We start from the raw sequence: 22,775 nt of genomic DNA on the forward strand, positions 1-22,775 counted from the left end.
TATTTATGTATTTTGAGATCAGGTTATGAAACTGGCTAATTTTTGTATTTTGGGTTGAGATGATGTTTTACCATGTTGCCCAGGATGGTCTCGAACTCCTGGGATGAAGCGATGCACCTGCCTTGGCCTCCTAAAGTACTGGGATTACAGGCGTGATTCATTGCCAGGTTGCAATTTTTTTTTTAATCTCTTGTCTTTCTGAGAGTTTCGTGGCAGAGAGTTTGGTTCATTTAAGTTCATTCTAAATAGACATTTAGGACGTTAACTTCTGGCCTCATGGACTCTGAGGTTACAAGTCCCCTGGTCTATCACAGGACCATACACATAAGAAATAAAAAAAAATCGGCTGGGCGTGGTGGCTCACGCCTGTAATCCCAACACTTTGGGAGACTGAGGCGGCTGGATCACCTGAGGTCAGGAGTTTGAGACCAGCCTGGCCAACATGGCGAAACCCCGTGTCTACTAACAATAAAAAATTAGCCGGGCGAGGTGGTGCGTGCCTGTAATACCAGTTCCTCAGGAGGTTGAGGTACTAGAATCGCTTGAACCCGGGAGGCGGAGATGGCAGTGAGCCAAGATTGCCCCACTGCACTCTAGCCTGGGTGACAAAGCAAGACTCCGTCTCAAAAAAAAAAAAAAAAGACTCCAATCAAAAAGCAAATAAGTAAATAAACAAACATAACGTTTATAATAAGTAATTGTGTTACAAAGAAATATAGTTATGTCCCCTAAACCAAGGTCTCACAGAAAAGGAAGCCTGTGCACAGACTGGGTCAACTGTGTCTTCTCTACTGTCCCTACCTCAAAGTTGGCTTCTTCCTTGTTGCCTAGAAAATCGTCGCCCTGACTGGGTATGATTGTTCTTTGATCAGTATATGCATATATATGTATTTTTTCATTCTTTCCTGGCTGATTATTGCGTGGGTGGTTGTTTGGCGCCTCCTAGCGGCCGGCTAGCAGTACAGGCCTCCTCCAGAGGCCGCTTGGGCTGACGGCACGGCTTGTGGCCCACAGGGGCGGCCACCTTTCTAGAGTTCTCTTGTCCTCTGGAGCTCCAGTGGCAGCTGCCGAGGGAGGGACAGCCCCCGCTGTGAGCTGAGCAGAGCTCGGGAGTCCTGCAGACTTCAGCAGAACAGTCCCGATGGTGCCAGAGCTCTGGCGCGTCCCTTGTGAGTCATAGCTCTGGCGTGTAGGGCTGTGGAGGGGAGGCTGTTACCGTGCTCCCGGCATGAGCTTAGTGTGGGGCTGCCCGGGCTGGTCCCCAGCTCACCGCAGCTGCGGAGGCCCGACCCTCGGAACCCACCAGGCATGATGCAGGGGGCCGGGGACACCCCCCAGGCCCGGTTGCGGGCCCATGTGTGTCCTGGCCGTTTGAGGCTCTGGCCGATTTCTTTTCCCAAGTCCCCATGGAGAATCAGGGACCGTCCTGTGCCATCTTCCGAGAGCCTGGAAGGGTCCGCCCGTGGGCTTTCCGAGCGCCGAAGGGGCCACATGCTGCTCTGAGGGTGCCGCAGGTTCGTGGGGCTCCCTTGCTTGGTGTCCACCCCCTCTGGTTTCCTCCTCTTCCCACCCTGCGGGTGGCTCGTCGCCCTGGCTGGGACGCCGCTGTGGGAGCGTGGTGGGATGGCTGAGGCGCGGGCGTCAGAGGGTGTGGCCCGGCAGCCCCCGTTTCAGGGGTGGCTGTGTGGTCTGGAAGTGGCGGTCCAGGTCCTGGGCCTCTCCCACTCAGCAGCGGGGAGGAGGGGTCGGCGGGGAGTAGGGGCCGGTCGCCCCCCCTTGAGCTCTTCCCCGTCTTAGTGGACCAGCAGACAGTGTGGGAGAGCGCTGGGAAGGAAGGTTGGCGGAGTTATACTCCAGACGGACGGGCTCAGGCCCCGCGCGCCACACTCGGCCACACTTGGCGCGTAGTGTGGACCCGGTGGGCCTCTGCCCTCGCCACCGGCTGGCTTCTCTGTCCAGCCGCTGGGTCGACCAGATGTCAGCCCCAAGGTTAGGGTTTGGCCTCCAGCTTGAGATGTTTAAGACGGACTAGATAGCTCTCGCCCGCGGCAGTACCGCTTAGGTCCAGCAGAGGGTGCGATTACGGCTCACGCGCCCTCCACCTGCCCGGACTCACCCAGGTCATCCTCCCTTTTCTTTTTTCTTTTCTTTTCTCTCTTCTCTTCTCTTCTCTTCTCTTCTCTTCTCTTCTCTTCTCTTCTCTTCTCTTCTCTTCTCTTCTCTTCTCTTTCTCTTTCTGTCTGTTTTTCTTTCTTTGAGTTTTCGCTCTTGTTGCCCAGGCTGGGGTGCAATGGGGCAATCTCGGCTTACTGCAACCTCCACCTCCCGAGTTCAAGCGATTCTCCCGCCTCAGCCTCCTGAGTAGCTGGGATTACAGGCGTGCGCCACCACACCCAGCTAATTTTGTATTTGTAGTAGAGATGGGGTCTCCATGTTGGTCAGGCTGGTCTGGAACTCCCGACCTCAGGTGATTCGTCCACCTTGGCCTCCCAAAGCACTGGGATTACAGGTGTGAGCCACCATGCCCGGCCCCATCCTCCTGTTTCTGCCTCCAGAGTAGCTGAGGCTCGGGATCTTTCTGGGTTTTTTTTTCTTTTTTTCTAGCCCCACTTTGAGTTTGTTTCCACGGTACATTGAGTTACTATTGTTTTGTTTTGTTTTGTTTTCTCTCTTAAGCACCTTCCTGCACACTGAAGTTGCTGTTTTAAATTTCTTCTTTCATACGTGTGTGTGTGTGTGTGTGTGTGTGTATGTTTTTTTAAATGAGGTCTTCTTAGTCACCCAGGCTGAAGTGCAGGTGTGTGATCACAGCTCACTGCAGCCTGGACCTCCTTGGGCTCAGGGGATCCTCCGTCTTAGTTCTCCCAGTAGCTGGTACTACAGTCACGTACCACCACACTGGCTCTTTATTTTGCATTTTTTACTTTTTATTTTTGTAGAAATGAGGTTCTGCCATGTTTCTCAGACTGGTCTCGAACTCCTGTGATCAAGCAATCCACCAGCCTTGACCTCCCAAAGTGCTGGGATTACAGGCATGCACCATCCTGCCTGGCTGGCTGGCTATCTATCTATCTATCTGTCTATCATCTCTCTCTGTCTGTCCAGCTCTGTCTATCTGGCTGGCTCTGTCTCTGTCTTTCTGATCTATCTATCTATCATCTTTTTTTTTTTTTTTTTTTTTTTTTTGAGACAATCTCACACTGTCACCCAGGCTGGAGTGCAGTGGCATGATCTCAGCTCACTGCAACCTCCACCTCCTGGGTTCAAGTGATTCTCCTGCCTCAGCCTCCCGAGTAGCTGGGACTACAGGTGTGCGCCACCACGCCCAGCTAATTTTTGTGTTTTTAGTAGAGATGGGGTTTTACAATGTTGGCCAGGATGATCTCGATCTCTTGACCTTGTGATCCGCCCACCTCAGCCTCCCAAAGTTCTGGGATTACAGGCGTGAGCCACTGGCACCCAGCCTGTATCATCTTTTTAGTAGAGATGTGATCTTGCTATGTTGTCCATGCTCTGGATATATATTTCTTTTTTAACTTTAATTATTATTTTTTAATAGAGATGCTGTCTCACCATGTTGGCCCCGGATAGTCTTGGACTCCTGGGTTCCAGGTATCCTCCGTGGCCTCCAAAAGTGCTGGGATTACAGGTGTGAGCCACTGTGCACGGTCTGGTCATGTTTTTGATGTGTTGATTCTTTCCAGTCCAGATGCATAATCTCATGTCTGAACATTCCTGCTGGTGTCATTATGACATATGACTTTACCCAGCACCAGAGTGATTTGGTGCCCCTGCCCTGGCCTAGCCCATGGAAGGGATTGTGACATATCCCTGGACCCAGTACCGAGGTGGTGTGACTATTCTACTGCCTTGGCACTACCCACAGGGGACATTTTGACATCACTACATCTTGTACCCAGGTGGTGTGAATCTTCTCTCCAGCCTTGGCTCTTCCACAGGGGACATTGTGTCATATGGCTGGGCCCCACACATAGGTTATATGACTCTCCTGCCTGTGCCCTGCCCATGTGGGCCACTGTGACTTTTGCTGAGTCCAACACCCAGGTGATGTAACTCTACTGCCTAGGTCCTGCCTACAGAAGATCTTGTGACATATCCCTGCACCCATCACACAGGTAATATGGCTCTCTTCTCCTGCCTGGCTCCTGCTTACAGAAGGGATTGTGATGTATTACTGGGCTCAGCACCTAGCTCACATGACTCTCTGCCTCTTTCTTTCTAGGTTCTGCCCAAAGAGGATATTGTGACATGTCACTGGGCCTAATACTATGCTGACATACTCTTTTTTTTTTTTTTTTTTTTTTTTATTGATCATTCTTGGGTGTTTCTCGCAGAGGGGGATTTGGCAGGGTCATAGGACAATAGTGGAGGGAAGGTCAGCAGATAAACAAGTGAACAAAGGTCTCTGGTTTTCCTAGGCAGAGGACCCTGTGGCCTTCCGCAGTGTTTGTGTCCCTGGGTACTTGAGATTAGGGAGTGGTGATGACTCTTAACGAGCATGCTGCCTTCAAGCATCTGTTTAACAAAGCACATCTTGCACCGCCCTTAATCCATTTAACCCTGAGTGGACACAGCACATGTTTCAGAGAGCACAGAGTTGGGGGTAAGGTCATAGATCAACAGGATCCCAAGGCAGAAGAATTTTTCTTAGTACAGAGCAAAATGAAAAGTCTCCCATGTCTAATTCTTTCTACACAGACACAGCAACCATCTGATTTCTCAATCTTTTCCCCACCTTTCCCCCTTTTCTATTCCACAAAACCGCCATTGTCGTCATGGCCCATTCTCAATGAGCTGTTGGGTACACCTCCCAGACGGGGTGGTGGCCGGGCAGAGGGGCTCCTCACTTCCCAGTAGGGGCGGCCGGGCAGAGGCGCCCCTCACCTCCCGGACGGGGCGGCTGGCCTGGCGGGGGCTGACCCCCACCTCCCTCCCGGACAGTGTGGCTGCTGGGCGGAGACGCTCCTCACCTCCCAGACGGGGTGGCTGCCGGGCGGAGGGGCTCCTCACTTCTCAGACGGGGAGGCTGCCGGGCGGAGGGGCTCCTCACTTCTCAGACGGGGCGGTTGCCAGGCAGAGGGTCTCCTCACTTCTCAGACAGGGCGGCCGGGCAGAGACGCTCCTCACCTCCCAGACGGGGTCGCGGCCGGGCAGAGGCGCTCCTCACATCCTAGACGGGATGACGGCTGGGCAGAGACGCTCCTCACTTTCCAGACTGGGCAGCCAGGCAGAGGGGCTCCTCACATCCCAGACGATGGGCGGCCAGGCAGAGATGCGCCTCTCTTCCCAGACGGTGTGGCGGCCAGGCAGAGGCTGCAATCTCTGCACTTTGGGAGGCCAAGGCAGGCGGCTGGGAGGTGGAGGTTGCAGCGAGCCGAGATCACGCCACTGCACTCCAGCCTGGGCACCATTGAGCACTGAGTGAACGAGACTCTGTCTGCAATCCCGGCACCTCGGGAGGCCGAGGGTGGCGGATCACTGGCGGTTAGGAGCTGGAGACCAGCCCGGCCAACACAGCGAAACCCCGTCTCCACCAAAAAAACACGAAAACTAGTCAGGCGTGGCGGCACGCGCCTGGAATCGCAGGCACTCGGCAGGCTGAGGCAGGAGAATCAGGCAGGGAGGTTGCAGTGAGCCGAGATGGCAGCAGTCTATGCTGACATACTCTTATGCCTTGACACTGCCCCTAGAAGGCATGGTGATTGATTGCTGGGCCCAGAACCAATGTGATGTGAGTCTCCTGCCTGGACCCTGCCTACAAGGTGCATTGTGACATATCTCTGGGACCTTTAACTATTTTATGTGACTCTCCTCTCTTACCTGGATGTTGCCCAAAAAGAGATTGTGACATAAATTTGGGCCCAACACATAGGTGATGTGACTCTCCTCTCCTGCCTCTTCCTTGCCCACTGAAGAGTGAATGACTTATTGCTGAATTCAGCACACAAGTGATGGGATTCTTCTGCCTGCTCACAGAAGTCATTGTGACATATATCTGGGCCTATCACTGAGGTTATGTGACTCTTTTCTTCCTGGAACCTGTCCACAGTGGGGAGTGTCACATGTTGCTTGGCTCAGAACCTACATGATGTGATTCTCTTCTTATGCCTGGGCCCTGCCCACTGGAGTGATTTTGACATGTAGCTGGGCCCAGCCCCAAGGTTATGTGACTCCACACATCTTCCTGAGCCCTACCCACAGGGGGCATTGTGTCATATCTCTGAGACCTTCAATGAGGTGATGCGACTCTTTTGTTTGGGCCCTCTTCTCAGGATATTGTGACATTGCTGAGCCCAGCATCTAGGTGATGTGACTCTTCTCTACTGTTTGGTCTCTACCCAAAAAGGGATTGTGACATATCACTCTGTCAAGAACCTAGAAGAGGTGACTCTCCTCTCCAGCCTGGGACCTCCATACAGTGTGTATTGAGACATATCACTGGGTCCAACACCTAGATAACGCAACTCTCCTGCATGGGGCCTGCCCATAGGGGTATTATGAGCCATCTTTCTATTAATCACCTAGGTGATGTGACACTCCTCTTTTGCCTGGGCCCTGCCAAAAAAGTATTGTTACATATCACTGAGCCCAGCAGCTAGGTGATATGACTCTTCTCTCATGCATGGGCCCTGCAAACTGGGGTGTTTGTTACATATAGCTGGGCCCAGCCCCTAGGTCATGCGATTCTTTTTTTTCCTGAGCCCTACCCACAGTGAAAACTTTGACATATTTTTGGGCCCATCATTTATGTGATGTGACTCTTGCATGGGCCCTCCCCACAAGGGGTAGGGTGACATATTGCTGAACCCAGTACGTAGGTGATGTGACTCTCCTTTATGGATTGGGCTTTGCCCAAGCAGGGATTGTGATGTATTTCTGGGCCCACCACCTAGCTGTTGTGATTCTTCTCTTCTGCCTAAGCCCTGCATACATTGTGTATTGTGACATATACCTGGATTCAGCACCCAGGTGATGCAACTTTATGTCATGAGAACTGCCTACAGAAGTATTATGACATATCTCTTTTTCTTTTTCTTTTTTTTGAGACAGAATTCGCTCTTGTTGCCCAGGCTGGAGTGCAATGGTGTGATCTTGGCTCACGGCAAACTCCACCTCCCGGGTTCAAGTGATTCTCCTGCCTCAGCCTCCCGAGTAGCTGGGATTACAGGCATGTGCCACCATGCCCAGCTAATTTTTTATTTTTTTTTAGTAGAGACGGGGTTTCTCCATGCTGGTCAGGCTGGTCTCAAACTCCCAGCCTCAGGTGATTCGCCCACTGTGGCCTCCAAAAGTGCTGGGATTATGGGCATGAGCCACTGTGCCTGGCCGACATACCTCTTTTTCATCACCTAGATGATGTGACCATTTTATTTTCCATGTCCCTGGCATATTTTGGGTATAGTGACATATCATTGAGTTCAACACCCATTGGATGGGGTTATCTGGGAGATTTAATTCCCCTCTTCTGTCTGCACCCTGACCACTAGGGATTGTGACGAATCACTGGTCTCAGCAATCAGGGGATTTGTTTTTTTTGCCTGGTCCTCGCCCACAGAGAACATTGTAACATATCTCTGGTCTCAGCACTCAGGTGATGTGACTCTTCTGACTGTATTCTGCTTTCAGGAGGGGATTGTAGCATATTCCTAATGGAGCACCAAGGTGATGTGACACTGCTGCCTGGTCCCTGCCCTCAGAGAAGATTGTGACATATCACTGCCCCGAAACCCAGGTGATGTGAGTCTACTGGTCGGTCCCTATTCACTGGTGGGATTATGATGCATATCTTGGCCCAGCTTACAGGTGCAATGATTGCTTTCATACCTTGAAACAACCAATAGCAGATACACTGTCTCTCATAGCCAGAGTTAGGAAAATGGGTAATATCTTGGGTCTCCTCTTCGTGTGAAAGTCATGGAGAATCTCTCACATACTGTGTAAAGTTGTCAAAAGGTACAGCGGATGTCCTAACAGAACTCAGCACACAGGTGAGGTTGTGACACTCATATGTATGACCTGCCAACAGTAAATATTTCATCCTTCCATATAAACATAGCTCACAATTCAGATTCTGAATATCACACCCAGAGGCAGTCAAATGTTGGAAAATGGAATCTCATATGTGAATTCGCTCCATGCGGGGGTTGGCATCTTTCAGACCAAGATTCGGCACACCTGTGAGTCTGTGACTCCACTAAGGGGACACAGTTTGCAGGAGGGATTGAGGTTCTTATACATGGATCCAGACCATCATTGAGATTGTGACTCATTTACTTAGACTCAACATACAGGAAGTGTTAGATCTCATACCTAGAACAAGAAAATGTGTGGAATTGTTAATCTTATGCTTCGACCTTCATGCAGGTGTGATTGTTACATACACCTCTGCCCAGCACCTGAGTGATTTGACTCTTCTGCTTGGGCCCAGCGTACAGATGGGATTGTGCCGCATTGCTGGACCCAGCACTTAGGTGATGTGAGTCTATTCTCTTGCCTTATTGCTTTTCACGGAGGGCATTGAGACATCACTGGGCCTAGTGCCCAGGTGACGTGACTTTCCTCTACTTCCTGGGCTTTTCCCAAGAAGGGATTGTAATATATTGCTGGGACCAGAACCTAGGTGATGTGACTCTCCTCTCCTGCCTGGTTCCTCTTGCACATATTGTGACATGTGGCTGGTCCTGATACCTTGGTGATGTGACTCTCCTGCATGGGACTTGCCCACAGAGGTATTACAACATATATTTTCATTCATCATCTAGGTGATATAATTCTCCTCTTCTGCCTGGCCCTGCCAAAAAGTGGGAGATTATGGCAAATCACTGAACCCAGCACCTAGGTGATGTGACTCTCTTGTTTGGCCTGGGCCTCTCATGTTTTGGGTATTGTAAAATATCACTAGGCCCACCACCTATGGGATTGCATGCTCCTACCTTGGCTTTGCCCACAGGGACCTTGTGACATATATCTGCACCCATGACCTAGAAGATGTGACATTTATTTTTTGCCTGCACCCTGCCCTGCACAGGAATGATTGTGACATATCCTTGGAACCAGACACCAGGTGATGTGGCTCTTCTGCCTCTGTCTTGCCCACAGGGAGCATTGTAACATAGCGCTGAGCTCAGCACCCAGGTGATGTGACTCTGTTGCCTGTGCTGTGCTTTCAGGACAGAATTGTAACATATCCCTGGCTGAGCACTCAGGTGATGTGACACTCCTGCTTGGCTTCTTCCCTCAGCAGATTATGAGATATCCATGGCTGAAATCCAGGTGATGTGACTCCCCTGCTAGCTCCCTTCTTATAAGTAGAATTGCGACATAGGCTGTGGTCAGCTTACAAGTGTGATGATGACTCTCATGTCAGCTTACAAATGTCATGATGACTCTCATGCCTCAAGTCAGCTATTAGAAGAAATACTGGCCAGGCACGGTGGGTGGATCACCTGAGGTCAGGAGTTCGAGACCAGCCTGACCAACATGGAGAAACCCCTTCTCTACTAAAAATACAAAAAAAATTAGCCGGGCGTGGTGGCGCATGCCTGTAATCCCAGCTACTTGGGAGGCTGAGGCAGGAGAATCGTTCCATTGCACTCCAGCCTGGGCAACAAGAGCGAAACTCTATCTAAAAAAAAAAAAGAAGAAGAAATACCTTTCATAGCTCAGAAAAATGAGCGACATCCTGGGTCTCTCTTTGTATGAAGGTTATAAAAGATTGCCACACCCCCACACGTAGTATAATGCCCTCAAGTGTTAGAGTGTGTCATCACAGGGCACAGCAAACCTCACCAACCATTAGTATTATCACCCTCACACATGGAAAGAGCCCGCTGCTGAGGTCTTGAATCTCACATGCAAACAGTCCACAGTTGGAATTGTGACTGTCATATGTGAGCATCCAGCCACAGTTGGGATGGTGACACATTTCTAAACTCAAAATCATAGGCAGATGAGGTCTCTACTATTTGGATCCAGCCAATTGGAGAAATGTTGACTCTCACACCTGGGCTTAGGGCCACAGGTATGGTCATGGGGGCATATAAACATGAAGGGGTCAGAGTGAATTGTGACCCACATTCATACTACATAAAGCCCCTTGGGTAGTATAGAGAGTGTATTAACAAGGCCCAGCACACAGGGGAGATGTTGACAGTTGTATGTACACCCACCCAACAGTATACATCATCATTTCCCCACATGAACACAGCCCACTTCTGGGGTTCTGAATCTCACACCTATAGGCAGTCAAAGGCTGGAAACTTGACTCTCATGTGGATTCAGTCCACAGGTGGGTTGGTGACATTCAGAGCAAGATTCAGCACACCTATGTGGCTGTGACTTTACTATTTATACGTGGCGTGCAGAAGGAGTTGAGGCTGTTGTGCACAAGTTCAATCCACCGTTGAGATTGTAACTCCTGTTCTTAGACACAACATATAGGAGGTTAACACCGGGACATGTGTGGGATTGTTAATGTCATCCCTGGACCTTCCTGCAGTTTTAACTGTGACATTTTTCTTTTCTTTTTTTTTTTTTTGAGATGGAGTTTCACTCTTATCACCCAGGCTGGAGTGCAATGGCACAATCTTGGCTCACTGCAACCTCCGCCTTCCGGGTTCAAGTGATTCTCCTGCCTCAGCCTCCGAGTAGCTGGGATTACAGGCATGTGCCACCACGCAGGGCTAATTTTGTATTTTTAGTAGAGACAGGGCTTCTCCATGTTGGTCAGGCTGGTCTCAAACTCCTGACCTCAGGTGATCCACCCGCCTCGGCCTCCCAAAGTGCTGGGATTACAGGCGTGAGCCACCGTGCCCGGCCCAATTGTGACATTTTTCTATGCCAGGCACCTGAGTGATCTGACTGTCTTGTCTGGGACCAGCCCACAGGTGGGATAGTTCTGCTGAACCCAGAACTGAGGGGATGTGACTCTTCTTCTGTCTTGGTGCTGCTCGTAGAGGACATTGTGACATCTCACTGAACCTTGCACTTAGTTGATGTGAGTCTCCTCTCCTGCCTTGGCACTGCCTACTGGGGCATTGTGACATATCTCTGGGCCTACATCCAGGTTATATGACTCTCATGCCTGTGCCCTCACCACATTGTGACATATTGCTGGGTCCAACACCCTGGTAATGTAACTCTACTGCCAACAAGGAACATTGTGGTATTTTTTTCACCCATTACCCAGGTGATGTGACTCTCTTCTTTTGCGTTGTTCTGCTCACAGGGGGAATTGTGACATATCACTTGGCCCAGTACCAAGCAAGTGTGACTGTTCTATTCATCATAAGTCCTGCTTTCAAGGGAGATTGGGACATATTGTGGGGCTCAACACCAATGTGACATTACTGTTTTGCCTTGGCCCAGACCTTAAAGGCACTGTGACGTATTGCTCGGCTCAGCAACAAGGTGACGAGAGATCCTGTGTGGACATTGACAACAGAGAGCATTGTGACATATCTTTGGGAGCATCAGCTATTTGATGTGACTCTCCTTTTATACCAAGGCTTTGCTCATAGGGGAGACCGTGATGTATCTTCTGGCCCAGAAATCAGGCGATGTGTTTCTCCTGCCTGAGCTTTGCTCACAGGGAGCATTGTGACATATCACTGAGCCCAGCACCCAGGTGATGGGACTCTACTGCCTGTCCCCTGCTTTCAGGAGGAAATTGTAACATATCTCTGACCAAGCACCCAGGTGATAAGTCTTCTGCCTGGTGCCTGTTCTCAGGGAAGATTGTGACATATCCCTGGCCCAGCAACCAGATGATGCAGATGACGTATCTCTCCTGCTCACTCTCTATCCACAGGTAAGATTATGACATATAATCACGCCCAGCTAATTTTTGCCTTTTAATAGAGAAGGGGTTTCGCCATGTTGGCCAGGCTAGTCTCGAATTCCTGACCTCAGGTGATCTGCCCACCTTGGCCTCCCAAAGTGCTCAGATTACAGGCGTGAGCCATGGTCGCTGGCCTAGGGAGTGTGACTTTCTTTTTGCTGCCTGTTCTCTACTCAACGGGGTAATTGTGACATATTGCTGGTCCCAGCTCCTAGCTGATGTGACTGTTTTCTTTTTCCTAGGTTCTGCCCACAAAGGAGATTGTGGCATACTGCTGGGCCTAACACTAAGGTGATGTTACTTCTCTGCTTTGGCTATGTCCTTAGAAGGCATTGAGACACACTGCTGGGCCCAGCACCAAGATGATGTGAGTCCTCTGCCTGAACCCTGACCACAGGGAGCATTGTGACATATTTCTTGACCCACTGCAATCTCTCCTATGGACAAAGCCCAGGTAAATGCCCTATTTTACCTATGTGATGTGACACTCCTCTTCTGCCTGGGCCAAGCACACCAGTGATGTAATTATTCTGCCTGTTCCCTGCACACAGGAGTCACTGTGCTATATATTTGGGCCCATCACCTAGATGATATGACTCTCCTCTTCCAGGGTTTGTCCTCAGTGAGAATTGTGATATATCGCTTGACGTAGCTTCTATGTGATGTGGCTCTTCTCTCATGCCTGGTCCCTTCCCTCTGGGGTGATTGGAACATAAAGCTGATCCCCACAGCTACGTAATGTGACTTTCCTGTTTATAAGCCCTACCCACAGGGGGCATTGTGACATATCTAGGCCTCTCACCTAGGTAATATGACATTTATGCCTAGGGGGTATTGTGAAATATTACTGGACCAAGAACTTAGGGGCCCACAGGAGGCCTTTGTTACATATCTGTGCATCCATTACTTTGGAGGTGTGACTCTCTTCCATCTGCACCATGCCCATACAGAAAATTGTGACACATCTCTGGGTTCAGCAACCAGGTGGTATATCTTTTGTGCCCAGGCCTTGCCTGCAGAGAGACATAGCTGGGCCCACTACCCAAGTGATGTGACTTTGATGACTGTGCCTTGCTTTCAGGAGGGAATTTTAGGGCAACAGAACCCTGGCCAGGCAACCAGGCGATATGCCTGGTTTCTTCCCTGGAAAAATTGTGATATATTCCTGACCCAGCACCCAGGCGATGTTATTCTCTCATTTGCTTTCTACTCACAGGTTGGATTGTGACATATACTTTAGCCCAGCTCACAGTTGTGATAATGACACTCATACTGACAAATCAGTCAGTAGGAGAGATACTGGCACTTGTAGCTAAACTTAGAGAAACAGGTAAATTATTGGGGTCTTCTCTAGGTAAGAACATTATAAAGCATAACCATTCTTTCACAGTTTGTATAAAGTCTTTGGATGGTACAGAGTGTCATCACAGGGTCAAGCACACAGGTGAGACTGTGTTTCTCATATGAACAACCTACCAAATGTTGGCAAACCTACCAACACCCTCACACATGGACAGAGCTCACTGGAAAGATCCTGAATTTCACACGTGGATGCAGTCCACAGTAAAAATTGTGACTGTCATATGTGATCATGTGACCACAGTCAAGATGTTGACTCATTTCAAAACAAAGCTCATAGGCAGATGAGGACTCTTCTCTCTGGTCCTAGCCAATTAGAGAGATGTTGACTCTAACACATGGGCTTAGGTCCATAGCTACGATTATCAGTTCATACTAGAACAGAATTCTCAGAGCAAATTGTGACTATCATGCATATTGTATAAAGCCCTCAGATGGTAACAGAGAGTTTTGTAACAGGGCCCAGCACACAGGTGACATTGTGATACTCATACACACACTCAGCCAACAGTAAAGATTGTCATCTTTTCATATGAACACAGTTCATTGTTGAAGTTCTGAATCTCACACCTAGAGATAGCCAAAAGTTGGAAAATTGACTTTCACACATGGATTCAGTCCACATGTGGGCTGGTGACTCTCAGACCAAGATTCAGCGTATCTGTGAGGCTGTGAGTCCACTAAGGGGACACAGTCCACTGCAAAGATTGAGGCTGTCATGCAGGTATCCAGTCCACCATTGAGATTGTGACTTGTGTATTCAGACTCAACATACAAAAGGTGTTGACTCTAATACCTAGAAATGGGACATGTGTGGAATTGTTAATTTTTTTTTTTTTTTTTTTGAGACGGAGTTTCAATCTTGTTGCCCAGGCTGGAGTGTAATGGTGCGATCTCGGTTCACTGCAACCTCTGCCTCCTGGGTTCAAGCGATTCTCCTACCTCAGCCTCCTGAGTAGCTGGGATTACAGGTGCCCACCACAATGCCTGGCTAATTTTTTGTATTTTTAGTAGAGATGGGGTTTCACCATGTTGGCCAGGCTGGTCTTGAACTCCTGACCTCATGTGATCCACCTGCCTGTCTCCCAAAGTGCTGGGATTACAGGTGTGAGCCACCACACCCAGCAGGATTGTTAATTTTATCCCTACCTTTTCCTTCAACTGTGACTGTAACATACACCTCTGCCCAGCACCTGAGTGATTTGACTTTTCTGCTTGGTGCCTAGTCCACAGATCAGATTGTGATACATTGCTGGACCTAACACTAGGTGGTGCGACTCTGTACTTTTGCCTTGGCACTGCCCACATGGGACATTGTGACATATCACTGGGCCCCTCACCCTGGTTATGTGACTCTCCTACCTGTGCCCTGCCTTCATGGGTCATTGTGACATATTGCCATTTGCAACATCCAGGTTATGTAACTCTCCTTGCTGGGTCCTGCCTACAGGAAGCTTTATGATCTATCTGTGTATTCATCATCCAGGTAACGTGACTCTTTCTCCCAGGTCCCTGTTCAAAGAAAGGATTGTTACTTATCAATGGGCCCAGTGCCTTAGCTGATATGACTCTTCTACCTATATTCTGCTTACAGTGTACATTGTGACATACTGCTGGGCTGAACACCAAGGTGATGTTACATTTTTGCCTTGGCGTTTCTTTTCATCAAGCATTGTGACATATTGTTGGGCTCAGAACCAAGGTGATGTGATCCTTCTGCCTGAACCTTGCTCAAGAGTCAACACCTTTTGCCCAACAAGAATAGTGACATATTTGTGAATCCATCGTCTATGTGATGTGACTCTCTTACTTGGATTTTTCCTATAGGAGAGATTGTGACATATCACAGGGCCCAGCATCTAGATAATGTGACGCTTCTTTCCTTCCATGGCCATGCTCCCATAAAAGAGAGTGACTTATCCCTGGGATCAGCCCACAGGCTATGTAATTGTTCTGCCTAGTCCCTGTCTACAGGGGTTATTGTGACATATCTCTTGGTCCCGTTCTTCTTCTCCCTGGGACTTGTCCACAGTGGGAATTGTGACATATCACTTGGCCCAGCACCTATGTGATGTGACTCTTTTCTCATGCTTTGGCCCTGCCCACTGGTTGGTTGTGATATGTAGTTGGGCCCAGCTCTTAAGTCAGGTGATCTTTCTCTTCCTCCTGAGCCCTACTCTCCCAAGACCAGCTAGGTCATGGAGACCCTAACCCAGCGGAGCTAGAGGAATTAAAGACACACACACATAGAAATATAGCATGTGGAGTGGGAAGTCAGGGGTCTCACAGCCTTCAGAACTGAGAGCCTCAAACAGAGATTTACCCACATATTTATTGACAGCAAGCCAGTGATAAGCATTGTTTCTATAGATTACAGATTAAAAGTATTTCTTGTGGGAAATAAAGGGATGGGCTCTGGCTAGTTATCTGCAGCAGGAACATGTCCTTAAGGCACAGATCTCACAAGCTATTGTTTGTGGTTTAAGAACGCGTTAAGCAGTTTTCTGCCCTGGGTGGGCCAGATGTTCCTTGCCCTCATTCCAGTAAACCAACAACCTTTCAGCATGGGTGTCATAGCCATCATTAACAAGTCACAGTGCCGCAGAGATTTTGTTTATGGCCAGTTTTGGGGCCTGTTTATGGCCAGATTTGGGGGCCTGTTCCCAACACTACTCACAGGGGACATTGTGACATATCTCTGGGGCTCTCATCTAGATGATGTGACTTTTCTGCCAGGGCTCTTTTCTCAGAGGATACTGTGACATTTCTTGACCTAGAACCTAGGTGATGTGACTCTCTTCTGCTTGGGCTCTGCCTGAGATGTGACTTTTTTTTTTCCCCTGGGCTTTGCATACATTGTGTATTCTGATATATGACTGGGTCTAAGACCCAGGTAATATGACTCTAACTCATGGGTTCTGTTCAGAAGGGTATTATGACATATCATTTGTTCCTCACTTAGGTGTTATGACTCTCGTCTTTTCACTGGAACCTGCCAAAAAGGGTGATTGTGACATATCACTGGACCCAGCACCTTGGTGATGTGACTCTCCTCTCCTCCTTAGGCCCTGCTTACATTGTGTCTGTTGAAATACGGCTGGTCCAACACCTAGGTAATGTGACTCTCCTGCATAGGCCTTGCTAATAGGGGATGTATGACATATGTTTTGTTTATCACTTAAGTGATGTTACTCTCCTTTTCTTCCTGAATCCTGTAAAAGGTGGGGGATTGTGACCCTATCACTGGACCCAGCACATAAGTAATATGAGTTTCCTGCATAGGCTCTGTTCAGAAGGGTATTATGACATATCTTTTTGTTCATCACTTTGTGACTTGTCTTTTGACTGGAACCTGCCAAAAAGGGTGATTGTGACATATTGCTGGACCCAGCACCTAGGTGATGTGGCTCTCCTTTTTTTCTGGGCCTCACATATTTTGGGTATTGTGATGTATAGCTGGGCTCAACACCTAGCAGTTGGGGAGCTCCTTTCTTGACCATTCCCACAAATGACATATCTCTGCTATGACCGCCTATGACACATGACCTAAATATGTGACCCTTCTTTTCTGCCTGTACCCTGCTAACAGAGAAGATTGTGACAAATTGCTAAGTGCATTGTATCTTGTGCTAACCTTCTATCTCAGCCTGTGACCAAGAATGCCTAACTGCCGGGGAATGCAGCCCTGTAGGTCTCAACCTCAATTTGCCCAGCCACTATTCAAAATAGAGTCACTCTGGTTTAAATGCCTCTGACATTAAGATACACTGTAAAATTATGAAAAAAGTTGATTTGAATTTTAGCAAATGAGAAATGAAATAATTAGAATGGGCTATTCTGAAAGATATAGCATTAGTTATATTTGTGTTTGAGTTTTCTATTAACCTATATTTGTTACTTATGAATAGATACCTTGTTTTATTCTGTCTAAACAGATACACTAGGTGGGGTGCGGTGGCCATGCCTGTAATCCCAGCACTTTGGGAGGCCGAGGGGAGTGGATCACCTGAGGTCAGGAATTTGGGACAAGCCTGACCAACATGGCAAAACCCTGTCTCTACTAAAAATACAAAAATCAGCTGACCATGGTGGCGGGTGCCTGTAATCCCAGCTACTTCAGAGGCTGAGGCAGGAGAATTGCTTGAACCCGAGAGGTGGAGGTTGCAGTGAGCCAAGATCATGCCACTGCATTCCACCCTGGGTGACAGAGCGAGACTCTGTCTCAAAAAATAAGAAAAAATAAGCGGCCGGGCATGCTGGCTCACGCCTGTAATCCCAACACTTTGGGAGGCCGAGGAGGGTGGATCGCAAGGTCAGGAGTTCAAGACCAGCCTGGCCAAGATGGTGAAACCCTGTCTCTACTAAAAATACAAAAATTAGCCACGTGTGTTGGCAGGTGCCTGTAATCCCAGCTACTCGGGAGGCTGAGGCAGAGAATTGCTTGAACCCAGGAGGCAGAGTTTGCAGTGAGCCGAGATCTCACCATTGCACTCCAGCCTGGGTGACAGAGGGAGATTCTGTCTCAAAAAAAAAAAAAGGACATAAATTTAATGTTAAGTGTGGACTCATAAAGAATCTAGACAGCCACCAAGCCATTTGTTTATTCTTGATTTCTTAAAGCTTCCATTATTAAAAGCTCTGCATTCCATTACTCATCACAGAAAATAATCTAAATTAAATATGAATTAAGTTTGTGTGTGTGTGTGTGTGTGTGTGTGTGTGTGTGTGTGTGTGTGGTGATTATTCTAAATTACTAAACAGATTAAGGCCAATTTTTTTATGTCAAACATATAATTCTGAGAAACAATCAATACTTTATGTACATTTCTGTTACCTAATAGGCTATTTAAGCATTTATACAGAAATTTTATACAGTTGTCATTTTTAATGCATGTTTTCTGATAGTATAAAAGCTTTCTCATGCAAGAAGGCTGATGTTATAATAGTAGCTAAAAGAATATTAGAAAATATGTTTTTTTTTCATGGGACATTTCTGAAAGGTCTCTAATGATCAAGATACTTATTTCACTAGACAAGTTGTAAAACTGTTAAATAAGGTATTGTTCCTGGACCAAACTGAGAGTTGGGCTGCTATTTCTCATGGCCCAATAACGAGATGCAGATGAACTGGGGAGGAAGAGAGTTTTATTTCTGCAACCAGTTACAGGGAGAAGGCCTGGAAATTATCACCAGACCAACTCAAAATTACAACGTTTTCCAGAGCCTATATACCTTCTAAGCTATATGTCTACATGTAAGTGTGCATTCATCTAAAGAGATAAGTGATTAACTTCTTTTATTTAATCTGTAACTAAGGTCTGAGTCTTGAAGACCTTCCCCTGCAGCCTCAGTAAATTTACTTAATCTAAATGGGTCCAGGTGCTGGGGTAATTACCCTTATCTTGTCTCCTGCTAAATCACAGTGGTTTGGTGAATTCCTTCAGACCTCCAATAAACCTGTTTGTAGAGGCCTGGGGAATTTCTTCAGACCCCCAATAAAACTTGTTTAATCCTATAAGGCCCAAGAAAGGCCTAGGCGAAACTCTTGATGGGCTTTTGTTACATCCCAGCCTTTGTATAAGGTCACTGGCTTTTTTTTTTTTTTTAATTGAGACGGGGTCTCACTCTGTCACCAGGCTGGAGTGCAGCTGTACAATCTCAGCTCACTGCAAACTCCGCCTCCAGGGTTCAAGCCATCCTTCTGCCTCAGCCTCCCAAATAGTTGGGACTACAGGCACATGCCACCACGCCCAGCTAATTTTTTTGTATTTTTAGTAGAGACGGGGTTTCACCATGTTGGCCAGGATGGTATCGATCTCTTGACCTTGTGATCCGCCTGCCTCGGCCTCCCAAGGTGCTGGGATTATAGGTGTGAGCCACTGCGCCCGGCTGGTCACTGGCTTTTAATATTTAACTTAACCACTCAGTCAGTACTGAAACAGTTGTTAGTGAGGTCTGGCCTGCCACAGTATTACAGGTACAATAGTATTGAGCAAAGCTAACTAAATTGACTGGATTGCTTTTGTAATTGCAGATTGATGACAATCAGATTCACTTAGAGTGGAAAAAGTATGTTGGCCCTTATAAAATAGTCATTAGAAGGCCTATGTGCGTAATAGAACCTCATGTGTCTTCTGCTACTAAAGTCTAACATTACTAAATTCAACAAGGCTTTAATGCATTATGGCAAAGCACATTTTCACCAGGTGAGGAAAGCCTTTACTAGTCTACTGACTGAGGAGAGTAAAACCCTTTATAATCAAGAACCCAGAGATTGAATCTGCCTGCCACCTACACTGACGCAAGACTTCAAGACCTTGAACATTGGATTGATAATCTCACAACTTAGAAGGGCCCCTCCAAACTCTTGAAATTGTAAACCCATAGGAGATTTTAAGGTAAAGCTAACCAGGAAAGTTTGTCCTCAAAAGCAGATGGCCGTCTCCATGTAGATAGCTTTTTTCACAAGATCAAAAATCAAGACATCTCGTTATCATGACACTCTTAGTTCACAGTTTGTTTATGGTTCTACAAACCACAGAAATTTTAAAAAGTGGTCTCTTGTGTGCACTCATGGGGGTATACTTATATGTAGAGAATTTTGCAGCCAACATTATGTATGAGGAAACTTATTCCTTGAAAGGTAAAAGAAGAAGGGCCAATGTAGGTGAGAAGTTTTAATGAAACATTTGTTTTCTCACAATATCAAAAACAGAATATTGGTCCACTGCTCTTAACCTATTTCATAAGTTAAAAAGAACTTATTCAGAATAGGTTAAAGAGCATTGCCAGGAGGCCATTACTCTTCTGAATGGGTATCACTGTTTAGAGTAAATGAGGCAATGGTTACAAATTTATCCCTCTCAATAGGGCTCTATAGCAGATTATACCATAAAAACTATGCTTACACAATAGACTTTAAGTTTTCTCACAAAGTTATGCTAAATATAATTTCTTTTGATTACTTACTGGATAAATAGATATCTGTGCAGTTGCTAATAGTTGCCCATGGAGAACTACAGCCGGTATTACAGAGATGCAGTTGTAGATGATTCATGAACAGGCTGATTAGATGAAATGAGTAGATCATTTATCTAGCTAACTATTTGATCTATTTAACTTTAATTGGTTGTTCATGGGGACCCTGGCTAAAAAGCATGCTTCAAACTCTTGGTATTATCCTCCTGATAGTCAAAATGGTAATCTTCCTACTGCACTGTATTCTCTCAAAAGATGTAAACGTTTGAATGTAGTCATCTGTAGAATGTCAAATGGTCTCTCTTTAACTGGAATGACAGAAACTCAAAGACATATGTGACTATGAAGACAGCACAACCTATGAATGACATGCTAAGGACAAAAAACAAAAATAATGGAAACTGAGAGTGGCACTAAAGCCCCGAGTTTTGGTTACACTGTGACCTATGTAAGAACTTAACCAAACGGGGAATTTTTTAAAGAAAACTATTGGAGGCCATAATTCTGGACTGAGCTTATGCACTAGGTCCAAACAAACCAAACCAAAATGAGTCACTCATGCTGGATGTGACATAATTAAACTAAAAATTTAAGGCAACAGGTAGATTCTAAAACTGGCCAGGTTTTGTTTTTCTTCTCTAAATAGCAGATTTCAACACAAGGAGGTCCCCTGTACTCTAACACTTTAAAAAACAAATAAAAATAATTTCAAAATAATAAGCTGAAGTTTTTATTTCCACTTTACAAACCCACAGTTCTGCTGTTTCACAGTGAGATTCGAGTCTAAATAAGTACATTTTTGATGGTGACAAAGTGATATTAATGTCTAAAGTTTTGGTCTCAAACTTGAGAAGATGACAAAAGGGAGAAATTGTTAAATTAGTTGTAGCCTAAAGCTTCCCTCTTATGTTTAATTTTGGCTAATAGGATTTGTTTTTTGTTTTTTGTTTTTTTACATAGTAAACTTAATGTTCAAATGGGACATATCTTAAGCTGTAATAAATCTGGCTGTTTCTGTACCTCACTTCCATTTTCTGTATGTCATTTTGCTTTTCTGGTTCATAAAAATTTTACCAACATGTGGCTGTGTTGGAGTCTCTCTGAGCCTACTCTGGATCCATAGGTTACCCGATTTGCAAATCATGATTTGCTCATTTAAACTGTTAAATTTAATTTTTCTAAAGTTTTCTTCTTTTACAAATTTTCAAATTTTTTATGATGAAAATAAATAATGTTATTGAGCTTTGATTTTCTAAAATCATCCCACAGCTATTTTCCCAAATAATAATAATATAATAATAAATAATAATACAATAATTTCCCAAATAATAATAAAAATAGTGAAAAGGCAGCTGATGATACATGTCTGAAGGACCTCAGTTGAGCCCAGCCTAAATGGCTGACCATCTCAATTACGAGCAAATAAGTTTTGGATGGTTTGTTATGCTGCAATAGCTAACTAATACATGCACCCTGTGCAGATGGAATGCCAGGATTTAATGACAGGTTGATTACTAGTTACCTTCTGACAGTGGACACCCTAAAGATACTGACTTTTCTTTTCTTTTTTTCCCGATTTGAAGTTGGATGTCTCCTAAGACAATGTTGAGTAATGCAGAAATACAGGTAGACATGTATGTGTGTGATTGGTGCTTATACTCACACAGTACCCCACACCACAGGAAAAAAACAGATAACCACAGCCTGACCATTAGAGCCAAGGCCAAACAGCAAAATAAGTTTGCCTTTAATTTATTTTCTTCATATCTTTTTTTTTTTTTTTTTTTTTTTTTTTCCGAGACGGAGTCTCGCTCTGTCCCCCAGGCTGGAGTGCAGTGGCGCGATCTCGGCTCGCTGCAAGCTCTGCCTCCCGGGTTCAAGCCATTCTCCTGCCTCAGCCTCCAGAGTAGCTGGGACTACAGGCGCTCGCCACCACGCCCGGCTAATTTTTTCTATTTTTTAAGTAGAGACAGGGTTTCACCGTGTTAGCCAGGATGGTCTCGATCTTCCGACCTCGTGATCCGCCCACCTCGGCCTCCCAAAGTGCTGGGATTACAGGCGTGAGCCACCGCGCCCGGCCTTCTTCATATCTTAAAGTTAGAGGTTAAGACTGTGGACAGACCCAAAGACATAGAGTTTTCTTCTCCTGTCTCCTGTGGCCCCAGAATTTTTTGTTCACTGTCTGATCTCTGGATGAAAGGTGGACAACAGGTGGCAAAGAGTGGTCTACCTGTGGTTATTTTATTTGTGCTGCCCTCTGCCCTTGCTATGGCCACTATCTATCGCACCCTCAGAACCGAAGATAGATGTTAGTAGAGAGAGGCTGTCTCCTCACCTCTGGCAGAAAAGGGATGTTCAGGGCCTCCACCCACCTGACATCAGAGCTGCACTTCAACGTGGTGGCTGTTGGCCATGTGTGGCTCCTGGGTGCCTGGAATGTGCCTGGTCTGAACTGCAATTTGCTAGAAAAGTAAAATACAGAGTTGGTTTCGAAGATTTAGTTCCAAAAATATATATAGTGCCTTAATAATTACATATTGCTGTGACCCCAGAAAATCTGAGACATCAGTTAATTTAG

General features: G+C 46.6%; 1 long non-coding RNA gene across 1 annotated transcript; it reads left to right on the forward strand.

The window, feature by feature from the left end:
* Window positions 1-1,697: 1,697 nt before the first annotated feature.
* On the forward strand, window positions 1,698-21,221 carry LINC00664 (long intergenic non-protein coding RNA 664). Its single transcript, NR_037194.1, has 11 exons — window positions 1,698-1,989; window positions 4,088-4,136; window positions 7,648-7,753; window positions 8,386-8,497; window positions 9,192-9,294; window positions 11,249-11,830; window positions 12,103-12,314; window positions 13,077-13,190; window positions 14,635-14,705; window positions 16,182-16,332; window positions 19,254-21,221. It is a non-coding gene; the product is annotated as a long intergenic non-protein coding RNA 664 (long non-coding RNA).
* Window positions 21,222-22,775: the final 1,554 nt, after the last annotated feature.

The sequence above is a fragment of the Homo sapiens genome, chromosome 19, assembly GCF_000001405.40.
Source record: "Homo sapiens chromosome 19, GRCh38.p14 Primary Assembly".
Taxonomy (NCBI): domain Eukaryota; kingdom Metazoa; phylum Chordata; class Mammalia; order Primates; family Hominidae; genus Homo; species Homo sapiens.